This window comes from Homo sapiens, chromosome X, assembly GCF_000001405.40.
Source record: "Homo sapiens chromosome X, GRCh38.p14 Primary Assembly".
NCBI classification, from domain to species: Eukaryota; Metazoa; Chordata; class Mammalia; order Primates; family Hominidae; genus Homo; species Homo sapiens.
The window spans coordinates 32,117,950-32,137,488 of record NC_000023.11 but is presented as its reverse complement, the minus strand read 5'-3'; the positions used below and the strand labels follow the sequence as shown (position 1 = coordinate 32,137,488).

The 19,539-nt window shown below is 37.9% G+C and overlaps 1 protein-coding gene across 21 annotated transcripts in view; it reads left to right on the top strand.

The window, feature by feature from the left end:
• DMD (dystrophin) overlaps positions 1-19,539 on the top strand; it is a 2,220,167-nt gene that overhangs the window by 1,201,900 nt on the left and 998,728 nt on the right. The window contains exon 45 of one of the 21 annotated variants that reach the window (XM_017029330.3): positions 10,075-14,234. Within the exon in view, the coding sequence (XP_016884819.1) occupies positions 10,075-10,119 (45 nt within the window). The 3' untranslated portion in view covers positions 10,120-14,234. 21 annotated transcript variants of the gene reach the window in all.

Below are 19,539 nucleotides of genomic sequence, written 5' to 3'. Positions count from 1 at the left end.
ATCTTTGTGTGTGAGTGACTAAACATATAATGCTATGTTTAGTGGATGGAGTAAGATTACCTTTGCAGAGGTTGTACTGGCTTACCCCTTTGGTTCTTGTAGTTTTCTTCTATTAGAGTTTTTTCCATCCCTAGGTTTCTATACTGTTCAAATGGGTTTAAGATTCTTGAAGGTATTCCTCTGACCTTGTAATTTATGCTTGTCTCCTAGCACAACTTTTTTTTGTAAAGGAGGCACCAACTATGTGGTTTGCTGGCGATGGCATACACAAATCAGGTGGGAGGAATTAATGAGAGCAGCAATTCCAATATCTGGTTCTTCAAGATTAACTTGTATAGTTTAATTCAGCATTCTAAATAAGCCTCATAGATTTAAAAATCTAGAATAAACCCACATTTTTAAAAAAAGTTTTATGTTATCTGTGCTGATAATGCACGCTGTACATAATAAAATATTATTTTCTTTTTTTTAAATTTATTATTATACTTTAAGTTTTAGGGCACATGTGCACAATGTGCAGGTTAGTTACATATGTATACATGTGCCATGCTGGTGCGCTGCACCCACTAACTCGTCATCTAGCTTAAGGTAAATCTCCCAATGCTATCCCTCCCCCTTCCCCCCACCCCACAGCAGTCCCCAGAGTGTGATATTCCCCTTCCTGTGTCCATGTGTTCTCATTGTTCAATTCCCAATATTATTTTCTAAGTGGCAGTGGAAGAAACATGGAAAGTTCTACTTCATCCATCGGTGGATTAGAATTTGTATACCATGAGATGATTAATTTTCAAAACCAGTTTGAATCTCACAAAATAATGACCCTGTTTTTTGAAGGACAAGGCAGAACAAGGAACTAGGCTGTGCCACGTTCAAGTCACAATCTCTAACATTTGTTTTGTTTTGTTTTGTTTTGTTTTGTTTTGTTTTGTTTTGTTTAATCTCTGTTGCTTGTTCACTTTCTCTTGTAATCTGCATTGATTTGCTACCTGGCTATTTGTAGATTGACTTCGGCTGCCAGGAATGGAATGTTTTTCATAAAGGAACATATGCCTTAATGAAAGTACCATAAGAAGGGAGTAGAGTGTGACCAATTGCCTAGGTAATAAGTAGTGACAACAATGATATTATTCTAGTATAAATGGAATCAGTTTTTCTTTGCCCAGGGGGCATGATAAAGAAGGCCTGGCTGGTATATACTAGGTGGGACACACCAACAGTGCCTAGAATGTCAATGGATCAAACCTGAGGGAACCAGAAGTTGAAAAGACATATCCCAAAAGAAAGCATTTGATGTTTAAGGGTTGGCTTACTTAGAACACAATGAAAAATATTACTAAAATTAAAACTATGATTTTAGCTATTTTTAAATATGACAAATTAAATAGCAGAACATTTTAATAAAACATTACTTAAGGTCCACAATTTTCTGTAAGTCTAATACATGGGTCATTAAAATAAAAAATTCCCCATGATTTATGGAATCAGATTTTTTTAATACAACGAATTCTAAATGGTTTTATAATGCCAATTCCAATTAATATCCTAATTATAACATGTCATCCAGAAGGGTTAATGACTAAATTTTATTAATATTTGTTTTCTATTTATTTTGATTTGTGCAGTTTATGTGTATAGTAACGATAGCTGCAAATTAGATACCATTAGCATTAAATAAGGTATATATTTTAATAGAAAATTAAAGTTAAGTATTTGAGCTAGCCTAAAATATTCAACAACTTAAATTTGTTTTTTGTGGATCACATTTTTTTGAGACAAAGTCTTGCTCTGCTGCCCAGGCTTGAGTGCAGTGGTGCATTCATGGCTCACTGCCTCAACCATCCAGGCTCAGGTGATCCTCCCACCTCAGCCTCCCGGGTAGCTGAGGCTACTGGCGCACGCCACCATGCCCAGCTAATTTTTTGTATTTTTTTTTAGAGATGGTGTTTCACCATCTGGTCTCAAACTCCTGAGCTCAAGCAATCTGCCCACCTTGGCCTCCCAAAATGCCGAGATTACAGGCGTGATCCAGTGCACTCACCCCTGTGAACCACCATTAAATAGCTAATAAAAGATGCATGTCAATAAAAATAAACAACTTACTAGAATGATTATGTGAAAATCATTTATTCTTCCAAAGCATGAATTTTCAAACACACCTTTTGTTACTGTTTTAAGAAGGGAATCATTTCCATATATTTGCATGTAAATCACTTTTAGTCTCAGAGAACTTTCCATAAAAGTTTTTTTATTACTGCTGTAACCGATAGAGCTAGTGGACTATTAATTTAAAAAGCTGTACATAAAAACACATCTATAGCTCAAATAATCTAGGATACCTTTTAGTTTGGGGAAATGTAGATGAAAATGAAGTAATTACAGAATCCTTGTTAATTTTCAGATTTAGACAGTCTAGGCAATATCTTTCAGGAATGAAGAGATATGTGTTTTTTGGCATCTTGGTAGAGTATATTCCCATTGTAATTCTTTTGTGAAGTCTAGACCAGATGTGGCCATAAAAATAGACCCCTACTACAATAATATATTTCATAGATAATCCAATAAAGTCAAATCTTATTGCAGTAGGCTTAGAACTCTGTTTGCACCCATGGAATTTATATCAGTTTTTGGCAAATCCTTTCATCTCTGAGGATACTTTTTCATCTCACATATACCCTATTTTCTGAACATTTTGCCTTCAAAGTATACCTCATTTATCAAGAATTTCTCTTTATTCATCTGACTTATACAAGTGGCAATAACAACGTCTGGTTCCCATGAAGTAACCAGTGACCCTTTGAAATAATATAGCGCTGGAAGAAAGAAAAGGAAAGGGAGACTGATCATTCAGCAACTCTTTAAAACCATGTCACCGTTAAACACATAGTTTATTTTATCTTTTTTTTAGAATTGTGAAAACCTATATTAGCATCTTCACGGATGTCTCCTTTGTTTACATCCCCGCTTCTGTGCCTTGCCTGCAGTAGAAAAAAAAAGGACATGTGTATCCCTATTCCCCATTGTCTTCTCATTCTACATGAGAATGAGAATTCTTTTAATTTCTTCTCTATCTACATGAACCCACTTCCATTATCTGTTTGTTCAGTTCTTTAAATGCCCTGAAGCTAGCTCTGTGACTGGGCAGTTGAAAGTTCTGGACTTAGCATCAGGTTAATTTGAAAAATACTTATTGAGCCACCACCATATGTCAGCCACTACTGTAGATGTTTTGAATGTGTCAGTGAACAAAGCAGAAAAGATGTATGCCCTCTGGATTCTTGGGGGTCTCAAATAGTGAAAGACAGATACGATAAGTATATTGTATAGTATGTTCAAAAGTGATAAGTGCTGTGAAAAAAAAGAAGAAGGGTAAAATAAGAGATGGCTCATGCTGGAGTACATTCCAATTTTAAATAGGGTATCATGGTATTCTTCATTGAGAAGGTGACATTTGAGCAAAGATCTCAAAGAATGAGGCATGGGGTTGAATCATGTAGATATCAGCAGTAAACTCATTTTGGGTTCAGTAAACAGTCAATGCAGAATTCCTAAGCCATCGGTTTATCTGCTGTTTGGGGCTGGTTATCTGCAGTGTGGCTAGAGTGAAGTAAGTGAGAGAGGTTTAGGAGAGAATGTTAGTGAGGTGAGGGTGGACCTTTGAAGCCATTGTAAGGACGTTTTTCTCTTTCTAAGTGTGAGAAGATGATGCTGACTGAGACCAGGGTGATAAGAAATAGTCATATTCTGAACGTGTTTGGAAGTGGGGCCAACAAGGATTTCTGGATGAATTGGATAAGGGGCATGGGAGAAAAATGGAGTCATGAATGGCTCCAACGTTTTTGCTCTGATTAACTGGAAGGGATAAAGTTGCCCTAAACTGAAATAATAAAGACTATAGATAGAATGGGGCGATTAGGGAGGCATTAAATTTGGATATCTGTTAGACATATCACCAGATATATTGAATAGGCAATTGAATAAATACCTTTAGAGTTCAGCAAAAAAGGTCCAGGTTGGACGTTTAAATTTCGGAGGTGTTTGTATAAGATAACATTTAAAGCTGTGATATCAGATTGTATCACTAAGGAAGAATATAGATAGAAATGACAACGTGACTAAGGACTCTAACATTAAGAGGTGGATTGACAAAGGAGAAAACAGCACAGGATAATGAAAAGGAATGATCAGCCAGGCATGGTGGCTCACACCTGTAATCCTAGTACTTTGGGAGGCCGAGGCGGGCAGATCACGAGGTCAGGAGTTGGAGACCAGCCTGGCCAACATGGTGAAACCCCATCTCTACTAAAAATACAAAATTAGCTGGGTGTGGTGGCACACACCTGTAGTCCCAGCTGCTCTGGAGGCTGAGGCAGAAGAATTGCTTGTACCTAGGAGACAGAGGTTGCAGTGAGCCAAAAGATTGTGCCACTGCGCTCCAACCTGGGCGATGGAGCGAGACTTCATCTAAAAAAAAAAAAAAAAAAAAAAAAAAAAAAAAGAAAAGAAAAGGAGTGATCAATGAGATGGGAAGAAAAACAAAAGTGTGTGGTGTCCTCAAAAACTGACGTTCTATTTTCAAAACCTACATTTTGGGTCTCCTTTTACTATATCCTGACTTTCTAGCTATATAACCAAAAGGAGAAAGCAGTAATTTTTTTAGATATAACATGTTAATAACTCTAAGGGTATTCAATGAATCTGAATAATTCAGTGGTATAATGTGAAAAAATATAGTATTCATAGGAAAAGGAACAGAAGTTAGCTCAGGAAATGACTTGAATGAACACCGAAGCCAAATCTCCAGCGCAGGTCCACGTATTATTTGTCTCAGTGGTTGAATTAGCAGCAAGATTCCTTAGTAGGATGAAAAAAGATGTTGTGAGCATCTGTATCTACATGACTGAATTAAATTCCTCCAACAATGAAATGTAGTTAACGTAGTATCTCGAAAAGAACCCTAAGTGGAATTCAGGGAACCTAAATTCCAACCATGGTTTTGCTGCTGACTGATTGCATTCACTTCAAATCTATCATTAACCTCCTTGTGCCTCATTATCCTCATTTCACCAAATAAGAAAAATGAAATATTCCTCCTTCCCTACCTCACTAGGATGTTGTGGATTTAAATGTGTGAGAAGTGCTTGAGATGCATAAAATTTGATGGAGTGTTTTATTCATGAATTCAAGGCATCTGAAGTAATTTGACCATGATGGACAGTTGCTTCCTTGCACATTTTTTAGAGTGACATTTCCGTTACTGACCCACCCATTTATGCAACATGTTGCCTAATCTAAATTTAGGTCAAAACAAATTGACCTTATAGGTAAGCATTATATCTATTAATATTGTATTTTTGTATTATTTTATAATATTCATCATTCACCTATTTTCTCATGCAATATATGTTACTGAACACATATAGATTAAAAAGCCTTCATCCCTAAATAACAATGATGGGACCTTCCATTTTTATATCCCTCTGGCATTTAAAATGTGCTTTTATAGCCATCATCTCCATTGATCTCTCAGTCCCTTGAGGTTGATATGACAGATATGCTTTTTCCATTTTAAAATTACGGAACTGACAGTCTCAGATGACTTTACCCTCCAACTACTGTGTGAAGAAGCAGGGTCTGGCACTGAGGTCTTCTGACATCCAGTGTAGAGCACTATACTTCACAATATGGCCATTGGCTTACTTTATTACAAGCACTAAATATTTTCCACTGAATACGTAATACCTAGAGGAGAATGTCGTGTAAAACAGCAGCAGTAGAACAGAGGATTAAATGACCCATTTTCTTGAAGTTATCTTAGTTTTAAAGGGTTTTTTCTTCATCACTAATGACCATCCCTGACTAAGAAATTATTCTCATAATACATGATAATATCTGCGTTTTCCAATGCGACAAGAATGTTAGGATGTCTATACATGATCTTGACAATCCCTAGCTCCATCACAATGTGTCCAAATTCATTTTATTTGGCTAGACAGGCATGTAGTCTTACTTTCAATGGTTGGCTCTGCTGGATGCTATGTGATCTAGAACCTGTCACTTACCCCTTCTAAACTTCAGGAATTTTTTATCCTTAAGATAACAAGAAAACTCGTACCTGTTTCAAAGAGCTGTTTGTTCAATCACCTATCCATTGATTATCTTCTATATGCCAAATGTTTTTCTAGGTGCTGAATTACAGGAATGAATCAGAAGCAAAAAGTTCTTACTCTCAAGGATCTTATATGCTAATGAAATAGATGTTAAAAAATAACAATTTTTGTTTCATTTTATTTTATTTTATTTTGTTGAGACAGAGTCTCACTCTGTCACCCAGGCTGGAGTGCAGTGGCACAGTCTCTGCTCACTGCAACCTCTGCCTCCCGGGTTCAAATGATTCTCCTGCCTCAGCCTACCGAGTAGCTGGGATTACAGGCATGCGCCACCATGCCTGGCTAATTTTTGTATTTTTAGTAGAGATGGGGTTTCACCATATTGGCCAGGCTGTTCTCGAGCTCCTGACCTCAGGTGATCTGCCCTCCACGGCCTCCCAAAGTGCTGGGATTACGGGCATGAGCCAGCGCACCTGGCATTAAAAAGTAATAACAATTTTTAAATATCAATATGTCTTATACAGAAAAGTGAGCAGTGTGGTAGAGTGTAACTGGAATGTGAGTTGAGACATAACACCAGACAGAGAAGCCAGAGAAGGACTTTTGTTTGAGGAAATGACATTTGAAAAGGAACCTGAATAGTGACAGAGGCAGATACCTAAAGAATATGTTCCAGACAAAGGAAACAAAAAGCGTGCAATTGCATAGTCAACTTAGCCTACTTGAGGAAAAGTGTGAGTGGATTTTGGTGATGGAGAGGTAAGTGCCAGGAGATGAAGGGAGAGATCTGGCATGCATCAGATGATGTGCAGTCTTCCGGGACGTTGTAAAGAGTTGGGCTTTTTTTGTTTATAAATTAAATGTTAAGCCATTGGGGTTTTTAACCAGAGGAGTTATGTGATATGATCTATAGTTAAATTATGTTTGTTCTTGGATGGAGTGTGCATTATGGGAATTTATACAGAAACAAGATTTCACATATATATATATATAAAACTCAGTGTCAATAGAAAATAATAAAAACAAATTTTATCCATTGATAATTCTGGCATTGATAGTAGTGGGTATGGTGGTAATAATTGTGTGTAACACTCAAACTTTCTGAAAACCTACACTTGATCTGTAAATCCAAAAGTATATGTAGCAAAAGCCATAATCTGCTCTTATTTCTGCACCACTTGCACCAGTGTGGAGTGATAAGGCAAATTATTCAGGCACCTGTGTAAGCCTTCAGTGTCCTCACCCCCTTGTTATAACTCTCCACTAATATTACATTGGTAAAGACGTCCCTGACCTATATGTCACTGAGACCTCAAAGAAAAGAGCAAAGCTAAAGCGTAAGGGGGAAAAAAGCCAGCTTAAAAAGACTTAAAGGTTTCTGGGACCAAAAAAAAAAAAAAAAAGTCTTTGAAAAATGAGAAAGGAAGGATAGAAGAAAAGATTCTCCTTTGGTCAATCTGGCCAACCTTTGGAAATAAAAAGTATTGTGTTGCAGCTAATAACTATTTGTCACTGCAGGCACTTGCTGATGTCTGCCCTTTAAAATGACCCAAACTCGTTGGCCTCGAAATCAGAAGCCAAGGAAAAAATCTTGGACATAATGTTTTCTGTAGAATTACCAATTTTCTCTCTCTCTCTCTCTCTCTCTCTCTCCCTCCCTCTCTCTCTCTCTCTCCATATCTATATATATATAGATGTATATATATTTTTTCTGTAGGAACTACCAATTCCTATCTATAGGGACTGATTGAGAAGTCCCTTATAGCAGTTTTTCTTTGGCTTTTAGGATGCAATGATTATTGGTGAGAATAACTCTTTCATTTCACATTTGTCATTGGCTTATTTGAATGTAATCCTGATTCAATCGTTATGATCTCCTTTAAGTAGGAAGAGAAGCTGGTATTACATTGTAGGATTTTAATTTTGTACTCATGAAACTTTTGAAAAACATTACTCATACTCTTCTGACTGTCAAATTGGCCTCTAAGAGGTCCACATCTCAAGAGGTATCAAGCATTGGTAACTATTTTTTGGTGTTGTTTTCTCATCATAAAATGTACTTTTATTAGGTGACTTTGGAAATTTTATTGAATCAATGCATGACACTGCCTCATTCTAGTAATCTGATGAAGCAAAGCTGAAAAACAAAATTTGAGGATTGTCAGTATATATACTTTTATTTGCAGTCAAGAGTTATGCTGCAAAAATGGTTTATTGAAGTAACAAAATTTTAGCTGATATATTAATCTGAAAGATACAGTATACATTTTTAGTATGGAAAAGATGAGGAAAAGGAGGTTCTCTTTCCTCTAGGTATCTAGAGCAAACTGTAACTGTCCTTGGTATTTAATTTTTGGCTAAGGTACTGAGATTAGAGGTGGGGCCTTAGATATGATTAATTGTCAGACTGATAAGCTAGATATTTCATTGAGTTTCTGTTGTGCTCTTTCTTTCAGATCCTCTGTTCGATGCTTTGTTATAAAGATTTGGGCATTTCAAAATCTTCTCCATATCTGGTGTCTTTCCAAACAGCAGGTCATAGACTTTACACAAAGAGGAACGACACAGGTTATAAGTAGAAGTGTTTTAAACCCTGAGTTCCTATTTCAGTTTTGCTTTCTTAAACATATTTTCCTTATGTGATAAATGCGAGTGTTGAATGGTGATAAATACCACCCATAGGCTTTAAAGCCTAAATGTTGAATTTGACACTGAGAGTTTAAAGGCATCATGAAAATTTCTCCAGAACTAATGTTCAAGCAATTTAGGTTTTACAGGCAACTCAATAGTTTTGAATGATGTAGTTATTTTGAAAAAGTCACCATAAAACGCTATGTTTAGGGAATTGGTACTTTGCATTTATCAGAAGATTGTAAATGTCAATCGATTGGCTTGCTATTTGGAATATAATTTTTTAAATTATAGTTCAAATCATTAGGATTTAATTCATGATTTTGTACTACAAACTAAATCTATGAAAAATATCAGATATTTATTTTAAATTAGAGGCATGTAAAGGAAAATATAAATTTTGAAATGCCATTTTACTGGATTTTTCTCTTCAGCCCACCCTAGGCATTTGTTACATAAAATATTTCTGAGGAAGTCTTCCACTGATTTTGTAAACAAACATGTTTTATTGAACAGTTCTTTGTTGACTAGATTAACATTGACCATTGTATGCAATGCATTCTCAAAATCTTAGAAGCTGGTTTTCTTTTTAATCATATAATTTTACTTGTTTTACAGTGAAATTAATGCATGTAAAAAGTATACCTATATAGAAAGTTAAAAGAATATTGCTAACTAGTTACTATACTTCCAAATTGCCTATTTTCTGTGTCTTGCATTGGACAGTAGTGATTACCTCTAAAAGAAAATGGATGGTCTTTGTTTCATTGAAGGGATGGATAATGGACATAACTGGCATTCTTGAGCAATGCAATTGCAAATACATGTCTTTGCATTTATGGTCCAATCATCTTCTTACTATGATAGCATATAATTGAAGGTTCAAATAAATGCCTCGTCCCTTCCTGTGGCATATTAAAGAGAAAGAAAAATTAGAAATACTTTCAAAGCTACCTCACATACTAATGGTAGAGTTGTTTGAGTATTTAGGTGATTTAACAAAGCTGATGTATTTTATTATGCTTGATCATTGAGGAAAATTTATTTATCGGAATGCTTTTGAGAGCATATATATTGTCAGAGATAAACACAGCTGGATATTAAAGAGGTAAAAACAGATTTTATTCAATACCTCGTGAAATTAGGGGAGAGCTGAGATCCATTCTAATTTGTGCAGAGGCGACTTGGTTGTTTTAAGGCAAGAAGGAGGGAGAAGGAGTGGGGGTTCATTCGAGTTAGAGAAGTAAAAAAGTACAAAGGGCTGGACAGTGTAAATGTGATTAGGCCAGCTGTGTTAGCTGGAAGTTATTGAAGTTAGGATTCTATCTTCCCACAGAGAACAGGAGACAGAGGACTTATCCTTCTTGATGATGTCATTTGAAAAGAATGGCTTTCAGGTCCTTGAGTGAGAGACACTTCTGATTTCCAAGAGCTACATGTTCACAATTGTAAGCCCTTTTGAGTAAATGTTCTAAGAAACGGAGGTAAGAGTCCTATCAACAGATGTGTGTTGGCTAGAACAAACATTAAATTTTCCTGGCAGCACTGAGCTTTCTCAAGCAGGCACTTAAGGGAAGGCTAGGGTCATCCTAGGGACATGGCCTTCTGGGGCTAGAAACCATACTAGAGTTTAGTCAAGTCTTAGTGCAAGGGTTTGGACAGAGTTGTTAAGTGCTGAGAGTTCTGTATTTCTCACTGTCACAAAGGAAGATCAGAAGCTCCTGATACTTTTTTCATCAGTACAATTGAATATATAAATCCTATACACAAAAATAAACTAAGCTTATACAAGCATATTGGTCAAGGAATGTTGCTGGCCTTATTAATTAGATAGCCCAGTTAAAAGAAGAATTTTTTAATATAATTAATGTTAAAGTAGGATGATAGTATATAAAACGTGTCTACTGTCCTGAATACAAACTAAACTGTTTGGTTTAGCATTTACCTCAAGATCTCTTAATATCCCCCAAAGGGTCCCTAAAACCACAACTTATCTTTGTGCTCATGAAGTAGAGAAGAGACAGTTAATAGACATTTCTAGCTGATAGACTGTTGTAGAGCAGAGAACGCTCTGTGTTTTTGAAAATTAAACATATGAATTTGCCCCTCTTCCCCTATTAAGGAAGAAGAGTTTCTTAATTGTGCGAACACATCAAGTGAACTATTCAATTAGATTTTTGTGACCCAGGGTATAAACATCTGGTTAAGGTTACATATTTCAAAGGAACAAAACACTAGAAACTCTTGGTTTTAAATCTCATGGCTGGAGGATAATTTGCAGCAGAGATTTATCTGGCAAGCATACAGAATTGCTGAGACTGTTCTAAAGATGTAAGTGTGGGTGTTTGTGTCGTGAAAATAGCTGTTTACATCTATTAAGTGGATACCGATGGTTGAAAGTGCCGTCTATGTCAAGTTTTTACCAAATCAACTTTTGCCTCACTGTGTCAGACCATTTTACCTAATCAACTTGGACTGCTAATGTCCTTTCCCCTGGCACCACTATCTGTCTCTTTTGCAAAGCACAGAAACGGCATGCATGATTGTAGTTTATAAAACACATGTACCAATGTGGTCTACAGCTTCTGTTGAGTTCGAGAGGGTCAGTTTCTGTAATCTCTTCTGGCACAGAGTCAAGAACAGCTTCACTTTCCTCCTGCTACCTCTCTACCCGTAAGTGTGAACCCATCACTTTGCTAACACTCAGGAAGGGGATTACACAAAATAGAGCAGGAGCCCTCTGACCTGAATATGCATCTGAGCCCTAGCCATAGAGCTTCTGATTCAGTAGATCTGGGATGGGGCCTAAATATTTGCATTTTTAAGTGTATAAGTGATGCTGATGCTGCTGGTTCCAGGACCACATTTTAAGAAATATCGATAAAGGTGGAGAATTAAACTGCAGCTCAGAAGACCTGAGTTCTTGCCCCAGCTTGACTTTTACAATCTAGCAAATGGATAAAACTCGCAGGACTTCAGTTCTCTTCATCTACACAGTGAGTGGTTAGATTGGCTTTGTAATTTAAAATTAAACAGGGTTTGATTCTGATTCACTACACAAGGTTCCAAAGAAGGAATGATATCTCCTTTCATTTCTTCACTTTGTCTTCTGTCCCTAGGTAATCTTATCTATGTTCCTGATTTAACCTAACTAATGTTTCTGCAAAGCTTCTAATATTTACATCTCCAGCCCTGAAACTCTCATTTGAATGCTAGTCTTATATACATACCCCCCTGCCTAATTGACATCTCCACTTAAATGTATCAGAGGCAACTCAGACTCAACAAGGACCAAACTGAATGTTCGACCTTGTCCTTCAAACCCGATACACATCCAGGTTCCTCCATCCCAGTGAATGACACTATCCAGTTAAGCAAGCCAAAAGTCTGGATTTTTTTTCCTCACTCTTCCTCACTGTCCGTCAACTACCATTATTAAATCTGTCACCTGGTCCTACTGATTTAACCTTCTCAATATCTCTACAGTTTTTCTTTATGCCCATTAGTATCCTAGTGCAAGCTACCATCGTCTCTCATTGGAATTAACACAGTAACCCCCCTACCCACCAGACTGTTCTGCCTACAGATAGTGTGATATTTAATAAATATAAATCTAGCCTTGGCTAGATTTCTCCTTCAAAAGGTTCACATTAATTTTAGCCTTAAAATGGTGTGCAAAGCTTTGCATAGTCTGTCCTTTGCTATGTTGGCAGTATTTTTTACTATCCCTCTCATCTGCTCATTCTCTGTACTCCAACTACACTAACTTTGTTTTTTTTTTTTTTTAGATTTCTCTAACTACAGTGCTGTAATCTCTTTTTCCTTTGCACGTACTATTCCGTTTGTCAGGGAATCTGCTCACTGTCTCCACCCACTCCACACACTCACGTTTTCCTGCCCGTCTTACCGGTCTTGATCGGTTGTCACTTGCTCAGGAAGGTTTCCCTGGTCACCCCCTCCACAAATTGAATTAAGTCCTCTTGCTGCATGCTGTCCTAGTGCTCTTTATTTTCCTCTCCTCATCCTTAATTCAGTTTGTAATTACATGTTATTTGTGTGAGGATTTGATTATTATCTGTGTCACCCACTAGATATTGGGCATTCTTTACTTACTCACCACTGAATTCATAGAACCACAGTAATTGTACACAACAAATATTCAAGAGAAATTTATTGAATTGATGAATGAAAAGTTGTACCTTAACATGTTCCTGACATGTATCCAAAAAAGAGCTCCCCTTTGGGGTCTATTAGGACTTTGGACCTAGGTAAACGTAACCCTAGTTTCGCTCAGGTTTAAACAGTAGAAAGTAATTGGGTCTCTTTTGCATGTGGCTTTCCTAAGGGCTAACCCTGTCTTCGGAATGAGTCAATACAGCAGAGCTGTTGAAAGCAGACTCTAGCTTCGGACAACGTTGGTCCGAATCATGGTTCCGTCATTTCTTAGCTGTGTGATTTAGAATAAATTAATGTTTTAAAGCTTTGATTTCCTCTTCCTTAATCTGGAGATGCTAATAAAGCCAACTTCGTAGAGGTATTGCGATGAGTAAATAAGCATAATTTGCTGTAAACACCTTGCAGATTGCCTGTTGTATGCTAACTAATCAATAAATTGAAGCTCTTAACATCATTATATTAGATATTTCCAGCATTGAGTATACTATCAGGCATGTGGTAGAAGCTCAATATAAAGTTTTGTTAAATTGAATAGATTCCATATATGGTATTTCTACAGCATTATGCTCCTTATTTAAGTGTCTCTAAGTATTTTTTAAGTATCACCTCACAAAAGACAGATGTTTAATTCATTACACATGTGAATTGTTTTAGATAGAAAATAAAATAAAAAATTCAAACATTGAAATCAATAGTGTACCTTACCTTAGGATTACACCATAAAATTTCTACCAATCGAGAATAAAGTGTACAGTCTATTTCCTTTCTAATACTTTTAACGCAACAAATGTTTATTGAACACTTACTACTTCTAATCTATGACAGACATAAAGATGAATAAAGCATGCCACAATGTTTAAAGGAGCTCACTATATCATAAGAAAGCGGATTCACACAGACAACTCTATAAGATAAAGTGGTAAATTTAGGCTGGCCTGTGAAACAAAGGATTATAGGTATAGTTAAGAGGTGGAATTTATTTTACTTCGAGGATTTCAGTTACCTTTATATTCTTTGTCTAACCTTTCATGTTTCTCTTTCTTCAGAAACAGAGCACCTTTTTCCTGACACATTCATTTCCCCCTATGGAGTAGAGCAGTTGTTTTCAAAGTGTGGGTCCCAGATCAGCATCACGGGGATGGTTAGAAATGCCCATTCTTGAGCCTCACAACAGACCTACTGAAACAGAAATTCTTGGAGAGTGGAGCCCGCAGATCTGTGATCAAGCCCTGTAGGCAATTCTAACGCACACTCAAGTTAAAGAACCACGGGAAGAAAGGTCCATCCTGTAACAAGACAGATTTTTTTCATTAGCATCAATTTTGATCATTTATATATATATATATATATATATATATATATATATATATATGCATGCTCACAAAACCATTCACCTTACTAGGTTTTAGTATTCCCCTTCCTGTATTCATGTGGTATGTATGTATACAAGATGAACACACATTTACCTGAGACAAGGTAAGACTACACATGTCTCATTTGGGGACCAGAGGCTGTAATCTTACTCAAGGTCAAAGCGTCTTCACTGCTTTCTTTCACTGCTTTTCAAAAGTAAAATTTCCATGTAGGTGTCATTTGTTTTCTTTTTGTGTTTTAGAAAACCGATTAAGGGGTGAAGTCTGGCTAAACTTAGTGTCAGGACATTTACTTAGATAAAATTATTTTAATTTATCTTGTAATGTTCAATGTGAGAAGAAAAGTCCTTATGAGTAGTGTATTCCTTAAATAACAACAATTTAAAAACTACCACTGAAGTCTGTCAGAGTAGTTTTGCCTCATTTGTCTAGATAAGAGAAAAAAGGTTCACATTAGGGATTGCAATTTGTCTGCCAAAGTGCAGTTTATTTATTCAGAAACATTTAGAGAGGAATGTGTCAGTTCTGTTGCAGGCACTGTGCTGTGACGGGGAGCTCAAGATGATCTCAAAAAATTTCACAGATGGGGTGGGCAGGGGGCACAGAGAGATGTATTTAGTGGTTCAGATACTATTTAGACTGTGGCCAGCATTTCTCTAAATGCAATCCAGATAACACCTTACAGAATCATCTGGGCAGCTTGATAAAAGCTGTAGACTCCTACCCTTCATCCCAAACCTATTGAATCAGTGTCTGTGTGTGAAGACCTAGATTGTGACTGGTAATTATACCAAAGTCTTAGAAGCAACTCTAGGCCAGTAATACTCACATCAGAATCAGCTGGAGGGTTTGCTATACCACAGATTGCTAGGTTAGCCTTCAGAGTTGCTGGTCCAGTAACTTTGGTGCAGGTCCAGATTTTGCATTTCCAGCAAGTTACCAGGTGATACTGATGCTGCTGGCCTTGATCGTGCTTTGAAAACCACTGCTTTAGCTACGCTATAGGAAAAACCATATAAGGCTTTTATACTGGCCAATGACTTCACAGGCCTGAATTTTAGAAAGCCCCCTTCTGCAGCTTGGCCTATAGATTCGAAGGAAACAGAACTAACACAAGAAAGCTAGTTAGGAGCTAGTTAAAAATCATCCTGACTTGCCAAGGAAAGGTGCTGAAGACCTGGGTCACAGAGCAAATGCAAAACACTAGGACTTTGTCCCTAGTTCACCATTAAATCAACTTATTTTCTCTTACCCCCTCATATTCACGTTTACTCCTTACTTTGTAGTGGTTGGACAAAAATCAAATAAATCTGAGAATTCTAAAATGCACACCCTTGTTTATTTTCTAACTCAAATATGCCACTGTTGTCTGTGCTCTGTCAAGATTTCAACACATCTTTTTCTCCTGTTTGCTTTTCCTTTTGGCATATAGTGAGTGTGTGTATACACACACACACACACACATTTTTTTTGACTCCTTCCAATGCCCTTCTGCTCTCCGCAGATACACTTCTGCATTCTGAATAAAACCGAATACATATATATATATATATATATATATATATATATATATATATATATGCACACATATTTTGAAAACCTTATTTGAAAAGAAAGCTTTCGGAGGAAACGTTATTTAGCCACTTAATCGAGTCTTTTACTGAGGGACTTTTTGTCGTCCCCTAACTTCCTGTCAGCAGTCCACAGGCAGCAGGAATAATGTGGGAGAAGATCAACAGGCTTATTTCAGGAGGTCAGGGGCCAGTGCCACCACCTGCAGGTGGAGACATCAGAAGCAGGAAGCAGCCCACCAGCTGCAGGGAGAACTCCCCACAGAGCCTAACCAAGATGAAGGGACTTGTAAATTTCAACCCTCCCTTTTGGCTTTTGTGCTAAAAATGTGAATATTGAGGTCTGCCCTGATTAAGAACTAGATACATTCCTCTTTGTGACTGCCACACTTCCTTAGCGTATTCATTTTTTGTCTTTCGATCTCAAGTTATTATTTTCAAATGCATTGCACGTATCTACCATGGATACCATTGCAATTGGAAGGAGCAAACGTTTTGTATGTTTACTTGACAAAGAGAAGTGACTGCCCAAGCCACACAGAGTTCTGCACAAATCAGTAACTTCTAACGAACGTTTGCACTTCCGGGCTTGTTCTCTACCTATTTCAGTCGATGCATTTGTATTATTTACTTCAAACTCCAATACTAATAATGCCTCAATCAGGTTGCAATTGGGATTTGAGCAGCCAGAATTTCAGAAATTTGGTTTGGTCCATATCTGTGACAGGTCAGTAAATCAGAGAAGCAAGGGTTTGGTTGCTATTATAATACATTGCTTACCTATCAATTTAGTTATCAGCCAAGGTGGTTGTTATCATCCAAAGTGGCTCATTAACCACCTTGGAGACTCAGTATACAATTGCAAGTAACCCTGGAAGTTGTAAATAATCCCAACTGAATTTGTATGAGTTTGGTAAGGTTAAGTGGAAACCAGCTGCTTAGGGCCTTGATTATAAATGAAGTTAGGAGTGGAAGAAGTAACAAAACCCCAGGCAAATTCATTAAACATTTTTTCCCTTCAACTTTATGCTCACGAATGTGTTGAGACTCTTCTGAATCCATAAAACACCTTTCAGCATCATCTGGGCAGCTTGATAAAGGCTGTAGACTGCCTGCCCTTCATCCCAAACCTACTGAATCAGTGTCTGTGTGTGAAGACCTAGATTCTGACTGGTAGTTATACCAAAGTCTTAGAAGCAACTCTAGGCCAGTAGTACTCACGTCAGAATCAGCTGGAGGGTTTGCTATACCACAGATTGCTAGGCTAGCCTTCAAAGTTGCTGGTCCAGTAACTTTGGTGCAGGTCCAGAATTTGCATTTCTAGCAAGTTACCAGGTGATGCTGATGCTGCTGGCCTTGATCATGCTGTGAAAACCACTGCTTTAGCTAGGCTATAAGAAACCATATAACATGGACAAGGCAAATGAAAAGGTTGGAATTCTTCTGAATCCCAACACATTTGTGAGCATAAAGTCGAAGGGAAAATGATTCTTCTGAATCCAGACACATTTGTTTAAGGATAAACTGTTTTTTCCTTCTGAAAATTTAATGTCTGATTCTCGTTCATTCATTCATCAAAAGTTATCAACTATCAACTATAGGTAGGAACTGTGCAATATGCTGGTGATAAAGAGATGAAAGACACAGCCCCTCCCTTCAACCAGCTCCTAGTTGAGGTGGCAAGTCAGCTGTATAATCAAGTAATTGCAAGACTGTGCACTGAAAAGGGTGACCACAGGGTGTGATGGCCACCCAGGGCTGTGGAATCAGTCCCAAAATGAAGAATGAAAGCAGGGAAGGGTAATTCAGAAAGAAGAAACAGTTCGCATAAAGACCCATAGATAAACATCAATCAGATGTGGTTAAGACAAAAGTAAGTTTCTGGAGGCTGAGGACCTTCTCAGCTATATGTTTGCAGTGCTTGGTATAGGGCTTTATGCATCTACATGGAAGACAGAAAGGGCCACATCACAGTGGACAAGGCAAATGAGAAGGAGGCAGTATCAGAAGATGAGGGTACACCGGAGATCCTAGTTATATATGGGCATTGTGTTCATCTCAGGAGTTACTGAGTAATGGGACCTTGACTCAAATGAATCTCAAGTCTGTTTTTGCCTAATCTTGGTTTTAGGACTAGGATTAGCATACAACCGCACTAGGAGCCTAGTTATACGAAAGGCTGCATTGCGGACCTGATACAGTTCAATATACATACTGTCACCTTGCAAATAGGGTTACGTTAGTTCTCAAGACTGCCAATCCTCTGTGCTCTAATCCTTTTGGCTTTTTTTTTTTTTTTTTTAACTGTCTCACTCTGTCATCCAGGTGAAGTGCCCTGGGATGATCTAAGCTCACTGAAACCTCCGCGTCCCAGGTTCAGGTGATTCTCATGCCACAGCCTCCCAAGTAGCTGGGATTACAGGTGCTCTGGCGCCACCAGGCCCTGCTAAGTTTTGCATTTTTAGTAGAGACAGGGTTTCACCATGTTGCCCAGACTGATCTCAAACGCCTGACCTCAAGTGATCTGCCCGCTTTCCTTTGGCTTTTAACACTATAGAGCAAGGGTCCCCAGCCCTGGGGCCACAGACCAGTACAGGTCAGTGACCTGTTAGGAACCGGGGCCCCACATCAGGAGGTGAGCTGCAGGGCCGCCAGCATTACCACTTGAGCTCCACCTTCTATCAGCTCAGCAGCGGTATTAGATTCTCATAGGATCACGAACCCTATTGTGAACTGTCCACACGAGGGATCTAGGTTGTGTGCTCCTTATGAGAATCTAATGCCTGAAGATCTGAGGTGCAACAGTTTTATCCCCAAACCATCGCCTCCCACGCACCTCTCCCCACAACCCCACCCGCCCCTGATCCATGGAAAAATTGTCTTCCTCTAAACCAGTCTCTGGTGCCGAAAAGGTTGGGGATTGCTGCTATAGGGCGATGGTTTTCACATTTGATCCTGCATCAAAATTTCCAGGTGACTCATTAAAATACTGATTGCTGTGCCCCACTCGTAGGAGTTCTGATAAGGTAGCTGTGGGGTGAGACCTGAGAATTTACTTTTCTAATAAGTTCCCAGGTCATGCTGATATTGCTTTGATAACCAAAGCAATATCAGCTTTGGTTATCAATATATAACCAAAGCCACATAGAGGGGGAGAAGTTCCTTGGGTTTAGCCCAGTGTTTACTGCGACCACCAAAATTGCTGGAGCTTAACCATGGCTCAGAGAGTTATGTTCTGTTCACTCTGTAGGCTGCTATTCCCTGTCACCTTTTGAACTATGATGGAGGGGAAGAGCTGCCAGCTCAGGAGATTTCACTTTTTTCTCTGCATAATTGAAAATCCAGAAACACAGGGTTTTGGGAAAGCTATAGAACAGATCATCAGTGATCAGTGTTTAATAAAGTAAAGCAATAAACTTTACTGTGTAAAATAGGATACTTTATTATATAAATTTTGTCCCCTTCCCCCACCTCACAGGCCAATAAAATAATATACTTCTTGTCCCTGGGTGTAATGTTATTGGAAACCTTTGAATGTAGGAGAGGCATGGGCTTGTAAGTTGCAGAAAACTGCTAGCCTAGGATTGAGAATTTCATGGATAATCCAAAAATAGATGATTTTACAGTTATAAGCCTTACGTGAACTTGAGGTAAGAAAACACAATGCCTTTATAGTCTTCT